At 43.8% G+C, this 17,188-nt stretch overlaps 1 protein-coding gene across 10 annotated transcripts in view, besides 2 other annotated features; it reads left to right on the top strand.

The window, feature by feature from the left end:
* The window catches only part of RNF216 (ring finger protein 216), a 161,617-nt gene that overhangs the window by 41,168 nt on the left and 103,261 nt on the right, over positions 1 to 17,188 (top strand). For 9 of the 10 annotated variants that reach the window (NM_207116.3, NM_207111.4, NM_001377156.1 and 6 more), the window contains 4 exons: positions 1,144 to 1,220; positions 9,679 to 9,781; positions 10,900 to 11,064; positions 15,058 to 15,172. In NM_207116.3, coding sequence (NP_996999.1) covers positions 1,144 to 1,220; positions 9,679 to 9,781; positions 10,900 to 11,064; positions 15,058 to 15,172 — 460 coding nt within the window. The remainder of the gene's footprint in view (positions 1 to 1,143; positions 1,221 to 9,678; positions 9,782 to 10,899; positions 11,065 to 15,057; positions 15,173 to 17,188) is intronic. The other variant, XM_047420529.1, reaches the window with a different exon arrangement.
* Positions 3,625 to 4,124: an enhancer, noted in NCBI's record as "H3K4me1 hESC enhancer chr7:5776003-5776502 (GRCh37/hg19 assembly coordinates)". NCBI's record gives its function as "activates a minimal SCP1, AML or CMV promoter by ChIP-STARR-seq in primed H9 embryonic stem cells {active_cell/tissue: H9 hESC(primed)}" and the evidence as "EXISTENCE:reporter gene assay evidence [ECO:0000049][PMID:30033119]".
* Positions 4,125 to 4,626: an enhancer, noted in NCBI's record as "H3K4me1 hESC enhancer chr7:5775501-5776002 (GRCh37/hg19 assembly coordinates)". NCBI's record gives its function as "activates a minimal SCP1, AML or CMV promoter by ChIP-STARR-seq in primed H9 embryonic stem cells {active_cell/tissue: H9 hESC(primed)}" and the evidence as "EXISTENCE:reporter gene assay evidence [ECO:0000049][PMID:30033119]".

The following is a 17,188-nucleotide window of genomic DNA, read 5'->3' as shown; positions in this document are numbered from 1 at the left end:
CAAGCATGGAGGACAGTGTTTCTGTCATCCAACAAAGTTCTATTAGTGGTGATATTAAGAGTAACACAAGGGCTGGGCGTGCTGGCTCACACCTGTAATCCCAGCACTTTGGGAGGCCAAGGTGGGTGGATCACAAGATCAGGATATCAAGACCATCCTGGCTAACACGGTGAAACCCTGTCTCTACTAAAAAAATTAAAAATTAGCCGGGCGTGGTGGCGGGCGCCTGTAGTCCCAACTTCTTGGGAGGCTGAGGCAGGAGAATGGTGTGAACCCAGGAGGCAGAGCTTGCAGTGAGTCAGGATCGTGCCACTGCACTCCAGCCTGGGCGACAGAGTGAGACTCTATCTCACAAAAAAAAAAAAAAAAAAAAAAAAAAAAAAAAAAAAAAGGTGTTACATCTGGTAGCCACTATTTGCCTTCAAACAAGTCCGTTAACCCTACTTTACCCAGGCGGGTTTTTTTTGTTTTGTTTTTGGTTTGTTTTTTTTTTGAGACCGAGTCTCACTCTGTCACCCAGGCTGGGGTACAGTGGTGCGATCTCAGCTCACTGCAACCTCCGCCTCCTGGGTTCAAGCGATTCTTCTGTCTCTGCCTCCCGAGTAGCTGGGATCACAGGCACATACCACCACGTCTGGCTAATTTTTGTATTTTTTTAGTAGAGACGGGGTTTCACCATGTTGGCCAGGCTGGTTTTGAACTCCTGACCTCAGGTGATCCGCCTGCCTCGACCTCCCAAAGTGCTTCGATTATAGGCATGAGCCACTGCACCCGGCCACCCAGGTGTTTTTATCTAGGCACTAGGTTGTGTGCTGCTTGAGGGCTGGCATGAGATTGTAACTTATTTGTGTTTGGATTCCCTTTGTCTAGACAGAGATGCTCAATATTTGTTGAAGCAATGAAGAATGGATCTGTAAAATGGGGACAGAGAACCAGATCTCTCAAGACCTTTCTAGACCTCATCTTCTATGTAGACAGATGAATCTGGGAACTAGTGTTGAATTTGAAGACACACACAGACCTGCTTCACAGCCCTTTTCTAGTCTTTAGTCATTTTATTATACTTTTTGCCATCTGTCTTGTATTGCCATTTGAAACCATTCTAGTGAATGAAATATAAATTATGTTCTTATTTGTTTCTAGGAAGCAAGATTTCCAGATGTAGCAAATGGGTTTATTGAGGAAATAATTCATTTTAAGAATTATTATGATCTGAATGTGTAAGTATACTACCATGCTTTTTTTGTGGTGGTGGTGGTGGTGGTAAAATATATGTAATAAAAAATTTACCATTTTAATCATTTTTAAATATACAATTTGGTGTTGTTAAGTAAATTCACATTATTATGCAACTATCACCACCATCCATCTTCAGAACTCTTTCATCTTCTCAAACTGAAACTCTGTCCGCATTAAACACTCACTCCCCATCCCCTTCCCAAGCCAGTGGCACCCACCATCCTACTTTCTTTCTATATGGATTTGGCTACTATCAGGGACCTCATGTGTTTGTTCTTTTCTGACTGGCTTATTTCACTTGGCATTATGTCTTTTTTAATGACCTTGTTCGTTCTGACATTAGTGATACACAGACTGTTTTCTGGATTTTATGGAATACTGCATGGTTATAGAATTATGATAACTGAGTTGTTTCTAAGCGTTGATACTACCTGTGTTTTAGTCAAGATGTTAAGACATTTTCTTCCCTACGATTGTAACAAAATGTTCTGCAACCACTCTGTTTGGAGAAATACATGGAAGCATTTTTTTTTTTTTTTTTTTTTTTTTGAGACGGAGTCTCACTCTGTCTCCCAGACTGGAGTCCAGTGGTGCGATCTCGGCTCACTGCAAGCTCCGCCTCCCAGGTTCAGGCCATTCTCCTGCCTCAGCCTCCCGAGTAGCTGGGACTACAGGCGCCTGCCAGCACGCCTGGCTAATTTTGTGTATTTTTAGTAGAGATGGGGTTTCACCATGTTAGCCAGGATGGTCTCGATCTCCTGACCTCGTGATCCACCCGCCTCGGCCTCCCAAAGTGCTGGGATTACAGGTGTGAGCCACCGCTCCCAGCCATATTTCTTAATTTTCATTATAAAAGGGATAAATACGGGCCAGACATATGGTTCACACCTTTAATTCTGGCACTTTGGGAGGCTGAGGCAAGAGGATTGCCTGAGTCCAGGAATTCAAGGCTGCAGTGAGCTGTGTTACGCTACTGCACTCCAGCCTGGGAGCCAGAGTGGGACCTTGTCTCTTATTTTAAAAAAATTTTTTATAAGTGGTAAATATGCTTTTTTAAAAAATAAGTTTTCCTGAAGAATATAAAATGAAAAATATACTCTTTCCCCTCCTTCTAATCTGCAGAGGTGAAATAATTGTAATTTTTTTTTTTTTTTTTTTTTTTTTTTTTTGGAGACAGTCTTATTCTGTTGCCCAGGCTAGAGTGCAGTGGTGCGATCTTGGCTTAAACAGCAGTCTCCACCTCCCAGGTTCAAGCAGTTCTCCTGCTCAGTCTCCTGAGTAGCTGGCATTACAGGCGTACTCCACCCTGTCCGGCTAATTTTTGTATTTTTAGTAGAGACAGGGTTTCATCATGTTGGTCAGGCTGGTCTTGAAACCCTGACCTCATGATCTGCTCACCTCCACCTCTCAAAGTGCTGGGATTACAGCCATAAGCCACCGTGCTCAGCCTGGTGGTAAATTTAAACAAAATAGTTCACTAAACACCTTTCCCCAAAGTTCCTATCTTATACTGTAGTTCTCAGTCAAGGTTGCAGGTGAGTTTCTTCCCTGCCAAGGCTGAGAAGGAAGGGCCCCTTTCCAGGTGCTTAGCCCAATGTAGGTACTTTTTTCTAATTTGTACAATGACACTGTTGGAGCCATTAGTGGCCTTGTCTGATCCCACCTCTGTACAGAGGCAACCACTGTCATCAGATTTATATTTATTTATTTATTATTATTATTATTATTATTATTTTTAATTGATCATTCTTGGTTGTTTCTCGCAGAGGGGGATTAGGCAGGGTCACAGGACAATAGTGGAGGGAAGGTCAGCAGATAAACAAGTGAACAAAGGTCTCTGGTTTTCCTAGGCAGAGGACCCTGGGGTCTTCCGCAGTGTTTGTGTCCCTGGGTACTTGAGATTAGGGAGTGGTGATGACTCTTAACAAGCATGCTGCCTTCAAGCATGTGTTTAACACAGCACATCTTGCACCGCCCTTATTCCATTTAACCCTGAGTGGACACAGCACATGTTTCAGAGAGCACTGGGTTGGGGGTAAGGTAATAGATCAACAGCATCCCAAGGCGGAAGAATTTTTCTTAGTACAGAACAAAATGGAGTCTCCTATGTCTACTTCTTTCTACACAGACACAGCAACAATCTGATTTCTCTATCTTTTCCCCACATTTCCCCCTTTTCTATTCGACACAGCTGTCATCGTCATCATGGCCCGTTCTCAATAAGCTGTTGGGAACACCTCCCAGACGGGGTGGCGGCCGGGCAGAGGGGCTCCTCACTTCCCAGAAGGGGCAGCCGGGCAGAGGTGCTCCCCACCTCCCGGACGGGGCGGCTGCCGGGCGGAGGGGCTCCTCACTTCCCGGACGGGGCGGCTGCCGGGCGGAGGGGCTCCTCACTTCTCAGATGGGGTGGCTGCGGGGCGGAGGGGCTCCTCACTTCTCAGACGGGGCGGCCGGGCAGAGACGCTGCTCACCTCCCAGATGGGGTCGCAGCCTGGCAGAGGCGCTCCTCACATCCCAGATGGGGCGGCGGGGCAGAGGCGCTCCCCACGTCTCAGATGATGGGTGGCCCGGCAGAGACGCTCCTCACTTCCTAGAAGGGATGGTGGCCGGGAAGAGGCGCTCCTCACTTCCCAGACTGGGCAGCCGGGCAGAGGGGCTCCTCATATCCCAGACGATGGGCGGCCAGGCAGAGACGCTCCTCACTTCCCAGACGGGGTGGCGGCCGGGCAGAGGCTGAAATCTCGGCACTTTGGGAGGCCAAGGCAGGCGGCTGGGAGGTGGAGGTTGTAGCGAGCCGAGATCGCGCCACTGCACTGCAGCCTGGGCAACACTGAGCACTGAGTGAACGAGACTCCATCTGCAATCCCGGCACCTCGGGAGGCCGAGGCTGGCAGATCAGTCCCGGTTAGGAGCTGGAGACCAGCCCGGCCAACACAGCGAAACCCCATCTCCACCAAAAAAAAATACGAAAACCAGTCAGGCGTGGCGGCGCGCACCTGCAATCACAGGCACTCGGCAGGCTGAGGCAGGAGAATCAGGCAGGGAGGTTGCAGTGAGCAGAGATGGCAGCAGTACAGTCCAGCTTCGGCTGGGCATCAGAGGGAGACTGTGGGGAGAGGGACAGGGACAGGGACAGGGAGAGGGAGAGCTATTTATTTATTTTTGAGACGGAGTCTCACTCTGTCACCTAGGCTAGAGTGCAGTGGTGTGATCTCAGCTCACTGCAGCCTCCATCTCCCAGGTTCAAGTGATTCTCCTGCCTCAGCCTCCCAAGTAGCTGGGATTACAGGCATGCGCCATCATGTCTGGCTAATTTTTGTGTTTTTAGTAGAGACAGTTTCCCTATGTTGGCCAGGCTGGTCTTGAACTCCTGACCTCAGGTGATCCATCTGCCTCGGCCTCCCAAAGTGCTGGGATTACAGGTGTGACCCACTGCACCTGGCCTTCCCTTAATCTTTATCAATTTTACTTAACATGCTTGTCAGTAAGGCAAAACCGTTAAGAGTGTACACTACCAGGCCATAGATTGGTGGTGTTGGTCAGTTCTGGAAATTTTGTAGCTGTTTCCTGTCTTCTGTAACTCTTCTCCCACAATCTCCATGTCTCTAAGTCCACCTCTTTGTCTCTGAGATGCGTTCTGGATGATTTCTTCAGGGGTGTTCTTTTAGCCCACAAATTTCTCTTCAGTAGAGTGTAATCTCCTTTTAACTCATCTACCGTGTTACTGGTTTTCAGTTATGAAATTTTAGCTTTTAATTGTCTTGGTTATTTTCCTAGAGTTTTGCTCTTTGCCTATATTTTTAATCTTTTTTTAATTTCTTTAACCAATAAACATAGCTTCTCTGTGAGTTTGATTGTTCTGATATGTTAAGTTCTTGGGAATCATATTCTGTTCTTCCTGCTGGCTCCCATGGTGCCTAGTTTTCTTGTGTATTTTCTAAATTTGACTCTAAGCTCATATCTTGAGTTCTTGATAGAGTTGGTTTCTTTAGAGATTATTGCTTTTGCTTCTTTCAAGTCCCCAAGGGCAGTGTCAGTTTGAAACGACTTTAGACTCCTGTCTTGAAGTTTTTGGATTACACAAACTCTTTTTTATTTATTTATTTTTTTTGAGACGAAGTCTCACTCTCTTGCCCAGGCTGGAGTGCAGTGGCGTGATCCTGGCTCACTGCAACCTCCGTCTTCTGGGTTCGAGCGATTCTTCTGCCTCAGCCTCCTGAGTAGCTTGGATTACAGGTGCCCACCGCCCAGCTAGTTTTTGTATTTTTAGTAGAGATAGGGTTTCACCATGTTGGCCAGGCTGGTCTCGAACTCCTGACCTCAAGTTATCCCACTGTCTCAGCCTCCCAAAGTGCTGGGAGACGTGAGCCACCATGCCCTGCAAACCTTTTATTTATTTATTTATTTATTTATTTATTTATTTATTTATTTTGAGAGAGAGTTTTGCCCTTGTCGCCCAAGCTGGAGTGCAGTGGCATGATTTCAGCTCACTGCAACCTTCGCCTCCCAGGTTCAGGTGATTCTCCTGCCTCAGTCTCCCGAATAGCTGGGATTACAGGCATGTGTTACCTCACCTGGCTTGGATTACCCAAACTCTTAAAGCATTTTTTATTTTTCAACGACAGACTCTACCTGGGTATTTAACCTTGAAAGCCATTTGGTTATTTACATGCCAGTTACTCACTCTTCTGAAGCCTTTCCACATATTCTTTATTGTGTATAGTTTTTAAACTTGGTTATTATAGAATATAATATACATAAAGAAAAATGAACAAAGTAAAGATGCACAGCTCAATAATTTATCACAAACCAAACATTTGTGTAACCACAACCCAGAAATCTTCAAGAAATAGAACGTTGCTATCCTTTTTGAACACTACATAAAGATTTTGTATAGTCTATAGTCTTTTGAGTCTGATTTCTTTTCACTCAGCATTATGTTAAGTTTATTCATGTAGGGTAGAACCACAGTTTATATATTTTCCATTGCTAAATGGTATTCCATTTATACCACTTAGCAATGAAATTTTCCATCTACTTTTGATAGGCATTTGAGTTCTGACTGTCACAAATAATGTAGCTGTGAACATTCTCCTGCTTGTCTCCTGAACTCTACTTGCCCCACACCCTGGCATCCACCTTCCTATTGGCTATGTTTGTGTCTTCCAGCAGAATTGTTTGTTGGAGATTTTTTTCCCCTCCTAAGCTTTTAAAATACTTTCTTTTTGGGTTTCTAAGTGGCATGATAATAACTACATTTTTTTAAATTACTAAGCTTTATTTTTTTAGAGCAGTTTTAGGTTTATAGGAAAATTGAGCAGCAATGACTACATTTTTACAATGAAAACTTTCTTGTAGGCTTCTACTCATCTAAAAAGCAACTTATATGTGTGAATTGCTTTAACAACTCTTCGACAATACTGAGTTATGATGTTATTTTTTGTAGTTAACTAGAGTAGGCATGAAGTAGCATAAGTGACATTTCTTTGCTAATTGGCTGTGTTTTTCAAATATTTGTTTACTAATTGTATTTCCCTTGCGTGTGAATTGTTTACTTCTCTCTTCTCTTTGAATTCCTTTTTTTTTTTTTTTTGGTTAATGTTTTCCTGGTTATGAAATGTAATACAGGTTTGTTCATTACAGAAAATGTAAATGATAGAGAAAAGTATAAACTTAGCTCATTTATAGAACAATGATTTGAATACCAGATACCATGTTTTAGTATTTTTTAACAGTTTAACCTCATAGAAATTGAGTATATTCAATGTTTTTCTCTCCTTCTGCAAATGAACATCATGTTTAAATATATCTTCAAGATTGTCTAGAAAAATCACTAAAACGTAATCAAATTGATACCTTCTCTTACAGTTCTGTTCTCCTACTTCCTGAGTCTCACACGTGTACTTATTTTTAGGGACTTGCTGACCCTCTGTGCTTTTTGTGTCACTCAGAAACAAACACTGATCCTTAAACACATTAAAATTCTCGTGAAATCCAAAAAGCAAGGGAATGTACAGTCATTGTATTGCATCTTTTCAAGCCAGTCTTGTTTTCCTGACACTGCTTTCCTTTCCATTATTCTCTGGACTCCTAGGACAGTGTTAACTCCACAACTAAACTAAAATGTTAATGGAAACTGGAAATAAGGCCCAAAGCTGAGTTGAGCAGGCTGGGATTTTGTTGTAGCTCAGTCTCAGTTGCTTTATGTGCATCTTTAAATGGCCTTCAGATGGAACCGTCTGGCCATTTTAAGCAGGAAGCCTATTCATTAGAGAACCACATGGCAGGTAATCTACTTTGGCTGGTTAACTTAGACCTTTCACTCACACGTGGTCAGCTTCAGTTGGATGAAGGCAGCAACAACTATCTAAGGGTTGAAAGGTTGGAGTACTAGCCTGGCTTACTTTGCAGGAGTGACTTCTCTAGAACTGCTAGCATGTCAGATCAGCTCAAACATGAGGTCATATGAAGAGGTGGGCAGATTGAAGTCCGACAGGCTTCCCCACTGCTTTTGCCCCAGGGTGCAGATATTAGAACAGAGGCTACCACTTGTTTCTGTAGAAGAAAAACTTTGTCCTTCATTTTCTGTGCCTCCAAATGTCACTTAACCTCCAGAAGAGTTGTGTTGGTAAACATAATGAAGGGATTAAACTAGAAATGAATTTTGACAGTTTATAGTGAGAGCTTCTGATTTCTGTCATGTGGAACTTCATGTCTGTAGCATTTCAGTATTTGAAGTTCTTAATATTGTTGCAAATATAAAATGAATTGGGGAGAGATGAACCTCTCAAACATGTTTTGTTTTTTCAAGAAATCATATCTACTGTTCCATCTGTATTTCATGTAGAGGTGTATTTATGTATCATTTACTTGAGAAAACACGTAAAAACAGACCATTTTAAAGCTAGTCCGTGTCTGGTTTGTCGCCACATCAAATATGCACATGTAATGAGTTGTCTGGAACTCAGGCCTTTCCCTACAGACGCGATTTTTGCTGGTGGCTAATTCTCAGGTCAGCCTTCAAAGGTTTGCATAACCTCAGTGCACACCAGTGAATTCTAGGATGGAGAATTACCACTGATGACAATGGTTTTATAGGAAAATGTACTCTGAATTCTTGTCGCCCTCTGTAATAGGAGGAGTTTGCTGCTTTTTTTCCTCTCTTTGGGCCTCAGGCGTTGTGTTCCGTGGACTGGGCAGGCTGTGGTGGTAGGGAAGCGGGGAGCTTAGAGATGAAGAGTATATGGGACTCCTGAAGTAACGGCAAAGGGAAATGCATTGAGATGTCAGGATGAGGGAGAAGGCTTTGACGTGGGTCCCCGGCGGGGGCTGCAGAATCAATGAACCTCTCCAAACCGGTCCCCAAACACTGGCACCTGGATGAGAAAAGGAGCAGAGCTGAGCACTTTTTCTCTACCCTCTTTCTGCCAGACCTCCTGTTCTACTATTACAGGCCTTACTATTGACATCTGGCAAAAGAGAACCAGTAGAAAGGGAAGTGTGTGAGAACTGCAGGTATAGCACCTAGGAGGTCATCTTAGAAATCTACTGGAGCAAGAGAAAGAACAGAGAAAAGGGGAAGTCCCCATTACCCTCCGAGCAAAGAAGCTTCCTTGCTACTGAATGTGGCTAGAGCTGTACCCCACCCACTCTGTCTGCACTACTGTGCAGTTGTTCCAAGGTGGTTGTCTGATTTGACTGTGAAGAGCCTGGATAGTTAACATGTGTTGGGTCTGGGTGGTGATACATCAGTGTGTGTTATCTCACTCTATATAGCCTTACTTTGGAAGTATTTCATGGTGATAATAGACAAAGCTAGTGGGTTTTGTGTGAAGAGAGTCTGTTCATAGGAAAACATGATCTGTTCATCAGTCTAGCTTGGCAGCTAGCTAAATAAACCACGTGTAACTCAATGGCTCATAGAGCTTTATTATTACCATAGAGATTTATGTTACCACAGGGGTATAAAAAGTATTAATGAATTAACAGAAGGTCTTTTATATTTCATTTATTACATCTCTTAGCAGACTGTTTTTTACTGTAAATGTGAACACACAGTTTTCCACTTCTTACTTGTTCATAGTTTTCTCGACAAAGAGTAGCTGCTTTTCTTAAAATTTTCCAGTTTTGTAGTTTAACCAATAATAGTTTCAGTGACTTCATTACATTAACACCCAATTGATACATAAACTTCAGAGGAGTTTGCCTTAATCAGTATGTTCATTGCTTTTTAAATTTTTTTGTCTTTCACAAAGATAGAAATTCAGTGCAGTTGTTTGTTTATTGGTTTAGTTTTTCTGGGCTACAAACATCTTAATTTCTTGATAGGCCAGTTGTAATGTGTGACTAAGGACTATATTCTTCAACCATTGCATTTGAAGCAATGGGCAGGTGTGGGATTTGGAAGCAGTATGAAAGTAACATCATTTGTTTCTGCAGACTTTGTAATTTTCTTCTGGAAAACCCAGATTATCCAAAGAGAGAAGACAGAATCATTATAAATCCCAGTAGCAGTCTGCTGGCCAGCCAAGATGAGACAAAGGCAAGTGTCATGTTCATGTTTTGCAGTCACTGCCTGGAAATGCTGTGCTTTGTTGTTGTTGTTGTTGTTGTTATCTCTGTGGGAAGAAAGTGCTTTGTTGGGACAAGTTTTTAAAGACTAGCCGAGGGACATAGGATTTCAGAATATATCTATACTTCAGTGCGATCTCCCAGTCTGAGCCACTTTGAATTCTGTCTGTCTTTAACTTCTATCTTTCCTTGTAATTCTTATCTTCCTTTTCCCACAAAGAATTGAACGAATTCTCCATATCTTTAATCCTACAAAGCAAATTCCTAAAGCAAAACAAGAATTGGCCAAAACTCTTAACATTTTATTATGAAAATTTTCAAACCTACAGAAAAATTGAAATATTTTACGTTGATCATTTATATACCTACCACTGGTACTAGTTAACAGTTTACTGTATCCTCTTTATCATACATATGTCCTCTGTCTGTCCATCAGCACAACTTTGTTATGTTTCATTTCATGATAATGCATTTCAAAGTAAATTGCAAAAACATGAGTACACTTCCCTCTAAGTACTTCAGCATGCAGGTCATTACCCAGAGTGGAATATCTTTTTTCTTTTGATGTGAGATTTGTATACAGCGTATACTATACATCTGTTTAACCAGATCTCATATCAAGATGTAAACAGTTTGGTTTTTAAAAACTTCAATCATTGTCATTATTTGTGATCTAAACTGGCATTTAGTGTGTTATATGGTCAAGTATGGTTGAGAACTAACTTTATTAAGATCTGTTGCTTGATCTTCCAACTCCCCATAGATTCTTTGACTGTCTCTCTTACGTATTCTGTAATAGAAAAAAAATAGTTGTTCGTAAATATGGTATGGAAAGAAGATGGCTGTAAGATTGGTTTAAATCCCCAACTATACTTCTTTAGTAGTAAAACTAGTCTGTCGGCTCCAGACAGGTTTGTTTAACCTCTCTGAGCCACCGTTTTCTCATCTGTCTTATAGGGCTGGTAACTTCCTTATAGAGTAATTAGAACAAATGTTATTCTTTTCTACACATGTAATTCTTAAAATGATTTCCCCTGTATGGGAAATGTACTGCCTGGCCTCTGATTTTATGCTTCTCTCTCATTTCAGTTGCCTAAAATAGACTTTTTTGACTATTCTAAATTGACCCCTCTTGACCAGCGCTGCTTCATCCAAGCTGCTGACCTCCTCATGGCCGACTTCAAAGTGCTCAGTAGTCAGGACATCAAGTGGGCCCTGCACGAGCTCAAAGGACACTATGCAATCACCCGAAAGGTACTCTACTTGGTCTTCCTGTTGGGGTCACACCTCTTGACTACATCTTCCCATGGTAACAGAATGAACAGTTCAGCTTGTGGAAATTGGGATGGTTTATGATTGCTAAGGAATTTATTAGGGTGAAGATAAATAGATGGGTATTTGCTCATCGTGACGGACTAAATGAAAAGAAATAATAGATAGATGAGAAGCAGAGAAGTTCTGCTTTGACCGTAAAAACATGGAGTGTAATACCTTCTACTGTGGAATGCAGGAGTGTGAAAGATGCATTCTAATGCTGCTCCTTCCTGATTTGCTTTCCAACTTGGGACAGGTCACACGACCATCCATCCCCCAGGTGGCTCAGTTACCAGTGATAGGACGTAAGGTCTGTAGAGAGTCCGGGAACACAGCAGTGCCCCCTCAGAAGAGAGTGGGCAGCTACTGACAGCTCCCAGCGTTCTCCCCGCAGGATCCTAAAATAGATGGCACTTAAAGGCCTTGGTTGAGGGTGAGGAGGGTGCTGGTTTGTGGTGGGTAACACAGGCGTCTTCCATGAAGGACAGCACACAGTGCCTGCTTTGTAGCTGTGGCCAGAACAGGAGCGCACGCACCAGCAGAGACCTTGGCTTACTCCTCTTGGTCGCTCTTACTGCCGTTAAATTGTATTCTACTGAAATTCTTGTGATTCTCAGCAAACACAGTGATGTTTCTTTTGTCCAAAGGACAAACGTGGAGTTATCGTAGTGGTTAAAATACTCATTGGGTCTTACCTGTAGGAAGGGAAGAACCAAGCCAAGGACTGTGGCTCATGCTAAGGTCTAGGCCAAGCCCCTTCCACCTTTTCTTTTTCTTTTTCTTTTTCTTTTTTTTTTTGAGACGGAGTCTCACTCTGTTGCCCAGGCTGGAGTGCAGTGGCCTAATCTCGGCTCACTGCAGCCTCTGCCTCCCCAGTTCAAGCAATTCTTCTGTCTCAGCCTCCTGAGTAGCTGGGACTGTAGGTGCTCACCACCGCGCCTGGTTGGTATTTTTAGTAAAGATGGGGTTTCACCATTTCGGCCAAGCTGGTCAGCAACTCCTGACCTCAGATGATCTGCCCACCTCAGCCTCCCACAGTGCTGGGATTACCTACATGAGCCACCGTGCCTGGCCAAAAAAAAAGACTGAAAGAAAAATAGAGGGGCTTTGAAAGGGTAAAACGGGAGGCAACCTAAGGTAGACCAAGGGTCTCCAGAAGGGCCACCCTGAGGAAGGGACATTTAATCACAGACCCACATAGGAGTTTGGTGAAAGGGGTCGTGGAAGATGTTAGTATCATTTATTGGGGTGAGAACTAGTATAAACATCTGCTTTGGAGAGAAATAATCACGAATTCAGTCTGGGAAACGTTGGTTGCCAATGTGCTGAGAAGGGCCTGTGAGACATCTGAGTAAAAATAATTCATTGGGAGGTTGAATGGACTAGAAAGTTTGGAAAATACAGACTGTAGATAGGATTTTTTTTTTTAATCTCCTTGGGTTTTATGGTGATAGGACTTTGAGAGTCATCAGCATATGGAAAATCTCACCAGCCAGGATGAGGTACCCAGAGATACCAGGTGAGAAGAGAGGACTCCTGACATGCAAAGACCAAGCGGAGGAGGCAGGCAGACAGGAAGGAGGAAGTTGAGAGACTGGAGCAGTCTGTATTATTATCATCATCATCATGGTTATTCTTGTTTAGAAACAGGGTCTCTCTCTCTCACCCAGGCTGGAGTACAGTGGCCCAATCGTGGCTTATTGCAACCTTGACCTGGGCTCAAGCCATCCTCCTGCCTCAGCCTCCCATGTAGCTAGGACTACAGGTGCACGCCACCACACCTGGATGATCTTTTTATTTCATTTTTTGTAGAAATGGGGTCTTGCTAGATTGTGCAGGCTGGTCTTGAACTCCTGGCCTCAGGCTATCCTCCCACCTCCACCTCCTAAAGCACTGGGTTGCCACCATGCCCAGCCTATGTTATTAAATGCTGCTAAGAGTTTGTGCAAGATGAGGACTAAAATGTAGATGGTAGACTTATAGACTTGGCCACTCAATAATAAGCATAGATTAGTAAGTGCAAAGGCAGGATAGATGCCAAATTAGAGACAGCTGGAAAGCTTGTGGTCATAAGGGTGAGGTGGTGAAACAGCAGATAAACAGCTCCTTTGATAAGTTTCTCTACAAAGAGGGGAAGAAGAAAGAGGGGCTGGCATTGAAAGAGAGATGAGATCACCTTCTCAACACCGCCACACTGGGGATTAAGTTTCAGCAGGAGTTTCAGGCAAACACTGCATCATAGCCACCCCGCTTCTCATTGCTGCCCAGACTGGGACCCCAGCCTGCCCTGCACCCTAACAGCGTAGCCACAGGACATGAGCCCCAAGGCCTCCTATCCCCTGCCACAGTCAGGAGTCCCACCCAGTCTTCCTGAAAGGCTCCCACTCTTCCTTCTTCTCTTGCAGGCGGAATGGCCTTACCTCACACACCCTTCCTTCCGTTTCAAATCAGGTACCCCTTCTCCCTCCTGTTTTTAGGATGGCAAAGACTTGAGCACTTTTTTTTTTTTTTTTTAAGACAGAGTCACGCTCTGTCGCCTAGGCTGGAGTGCAGTGGCGCGATCTCAGCTCACTGCAACCTCCGCTTTCCAGGTTCACTGATTCTCATGCCTTAGCCCCCCAAGTAGCTGGGATTACAGGCGCTTGCTACCACGTCCAGCTAATTTTTTGTATTTTTACTAGAGACGGGGTTTTGCCATGTTGTCCAGGCTGGTCTTGAACACCTGACCTCAGGTGATCCACCTGCCTCGGCCTCCCAAAGTGCTGGGATTACAGGCGTGAGCCACCGCGCCCACCCTGATTTGAACACATTTAAATCCTGATAAGGGAAATCTAACAGAGAGAAGCTGAAGGTAGGAAAGAAAAGGGATCCTCACCAGTGGAAGGATTTTGAACTCCAGCATCCTGTTACAGGGTGGGGTGGATATAGGTGCACACAGAGAAGAGTGTGGGGGAAGCAGGTTAGGGGAGAGTAAAGAGGAGCATTGACCAGAGAAACAACATGGAAGATTTGCCTACAGAATGGGACTCACCAGCCCATTGTCATGTGATTTTACCTGTACTTATTCAAGGACAGCTTGGACAGTTTTGTTTTGTTTGAGACAGGGTCTCCTGTGTTACCCAGGATGGAGTGCAGTGGCGCAATCATGGCTCACTGCAACCCTGCCTCTCAGGCTCAAGTGATTGTCCTATCTTAGCCTCCGAGTACCTGGGACCACAGCTGTGGACCACCACGCCCAGCTATTTTTTTGTATTTTTAGTAGAGACGGGGTGTCCCCATGTTGCCCGGGCAAGCCTTGAACACCTAAGCTCAAGTGATCCACCCCCGTCATCCTCCCACAGTGCTAGGATTACAGGTGTGAGCCACTGCACCCAGCCAACAGTTTTTCTTTTCCCTAGTTACTCTTTAATCTGTCAGTAAGTGTTTTGCTTCCACCACCGTACCAGTTTATGAAAGTCAGAGAAAATGAAAATAAAGAAATGCTGCCTATTTATTTTACCACTGCCTATTCCTTTTTTTTTTTTTTTTTTGCCCAGGCTGGAGTGCAGTGGTGCAGTGCAGTGGTGCAGTCTCGGCTCACTGCGACCTCCGCCTCCTGGGTTCAAGCGATTCTCCTGCCGCAGCCTCCTGAGTAGCTGGGATTACAGGCGTGCGCCACCATGCCCGGCTAATTTTTGTATTTTTAGTACAGACAGGGTTTCACCATGTTGGCCAGACTGGTGTCGAACTCCTGACCTCAAGGGATCTGCCCACTTGGCCTCCCAAAGTGTTGGGATTACAGGCGTCAGCCACCGCACCCAGCTGCCACTACCAATTGTTAGCCATGCTGGGTAGACAGCTGAAACTGTGTTAAAATGGCATTCAGGGATTGCCTGTCTCGTGTATTCTTATTTTCTATTTACAGAAGGAACCTTTCCTTTTCTCAATTTTTAGGCCTTGTCTGATGCCATTAAAAAATGGCAGGAGCTGTCACCAGAAACCAGTGGAAAAAGGAAGAAGAGAAAACAAATGAACCAGTATTCTTACATTGATTTCAAGTTTGAACAAGGTAATGCAAACTGTGTTGGTGGCAGTGTGTAGCTGCAACACTGTACCTTTTCTTCTTCACAGTCAGTGAAGGAAGCCGTGCTACAGGTGTCTGCTGAGCATCTGGACAGGCCAGTCCAAGGAGTGACTGACAGGAACTATTTTCTCAGCACATCAAAATTTTTAGGAAGTGGCTGCACTTGTTGGCTTCCTTCTTCCTACTTAAGATAAACTGTGAGAGGAAAATTTTGTGTGGTGTTAGAAAATTCATGTGTGAGAAGGTATTTGAGTGTGCTGTTAAGCTTGGGGGGAAAAACTGGTCTCAAAGGTTTGATGCGAATTGGCTGTGTTATTAGGTAAAAACTACCCAGACTTATGAATGAGGGCTTACTGCAGAGGGTCACTTATGCAACTGAGAGAATGGCTAATAGCCACGTTTCTCCAAAATTCTGTCATTCTTATTGATGAAATAACTGCTGAAAACCCTTTTGAAGAGGTTATTTAGGTCTGATCCCCAAAAATGTAAACTTGAGTGTTATAACAACTCAGATTTTATCTGAGTTGCTTCCACCCAGTAAAGGCGTTTACTACAACTTTTCTAGAGATCATCCCTTTCTGTTACATGTGTACTTAATTACCACACTTGATTTCAGGTATGACTAAGTGGAAACTCAGGTAACTATAAAGCTGGAAAGTATTTGTATTTACTATGAACTTTTCAGGCTCTAAAAGAAAATCCCTTAGGCTGTGACTCCTGAGGTTCCTAAGCCAGTCTGTGGAGCAGTGGCTCTGCTGACATGACATTCGCCCTGGCCTGTGGCAGAATGTAGAACTAGGGACAGTGTGCAGGTGGTTTTTCATTCAGCCAAATTTAGCCAGAGTTCAGAACAGGCATCCTTGTACATAGCCATACAGTATTTGTTTCTGACTTCAGTGGTGGAGAAAGTGCTATTTTGCAAGATAGTTGACTTCCTTGTTGGTCAGCTCTGTCTTTTAGACAGTTCTTCCTTTATATTTGTCAGCATGTACTTCCTGAAATGTCCTGCCATGGTTGTAGTTCTTGGCTGTGGAGAGAGATTCTGACTGTTGTCCCTTCATCAGCCTGACTGCCCTTCTCCTCTTCCCTGTGTGCCCTTCTCTAGCTTGTCAGGGTCTCTTTGAAAGTTGGGGTATAGAAGACTGCACATCATACTCCACATGAGGTCTGCTCACATTCAGCCTTGCTCTTTTCACCCACATTGCTGTCAGGTCATAAACCTGTCTCAGTTTTGCTGCATCTCACATTTTCCCATTAACTTCATTTCATTTGATTCAGTTTCTTGTTTTAGGTATAGCACTTTAATTTAGGTGCTGATTCTTTAATTTTACTTATCAGATAATCTTGAAGGACCCTGGAAGTATAAGATAGAAATTACACTTGATTTACATTAGTAGTTTAATGTTTATGACTCACACTTAGCCTTTTTTGACAGCTTTTTATAAGGACACAGGCTAAGAATCCCTCATCTGTTCCAGGGATCCCATTTTTCTCCTTTTCAGTTTGTTTTCCGTCTAAACACTGCTCTTTGGGCTATAATTGCTTGACTCAAAGAGTGAGACACGGTTCTCCCTCCTCTGTCCTTTTTATGGTCATGCAGGAAAATACATTAGAGGGAAGTTTGTAGACTTAATTGCATTTATTTATTTATTTTTTTTTTTTGAGACGGAGTCTTGCTCTGTCGCCCAGGCTGGAGTGCAGTGGCGCAATCTCGGCTCACTGCAAACTCCGCCTCCTGGGTTCACGCCATTCTCCTACCTCAGCCTCCCGAGTAGCTGGGACTACAGGTGCCCGCCACCGAGTCCGGCTAATTTTTTGTGTTTTTAGTAGAGACGGGGTTTCACCATGTTAGCCAGGATGGTCTCGATCTCCTGACCTCGTGATCCGCCCGCCTCGGCCTCCCAAAGTGCGAGATTACAGGCTTGAGCCACCGCACCCGGCCAATTGCATTTATTTTTTAAAATAAAGGACTGAAAATAAATCTTATTACTTTAACATGAT

Source organism: Homo sapiens, chromosome 7, assembly GCF_000001405.40.
Source record: "Homo sapiens chromosome 7, GRCh38.p14 Primary Assembly".
Classification (NCBI taxonomy): Eukaryota; Metazoa; Chordata; class Mammalia; order Primates; family Hominidae; genus Homo; species Homo sapiens.
The sequence above is the reverse complement of the archived record's forward strand: the minus strand, read 5'-3'. Positions and strand labels throughout refer to the sequence as shown.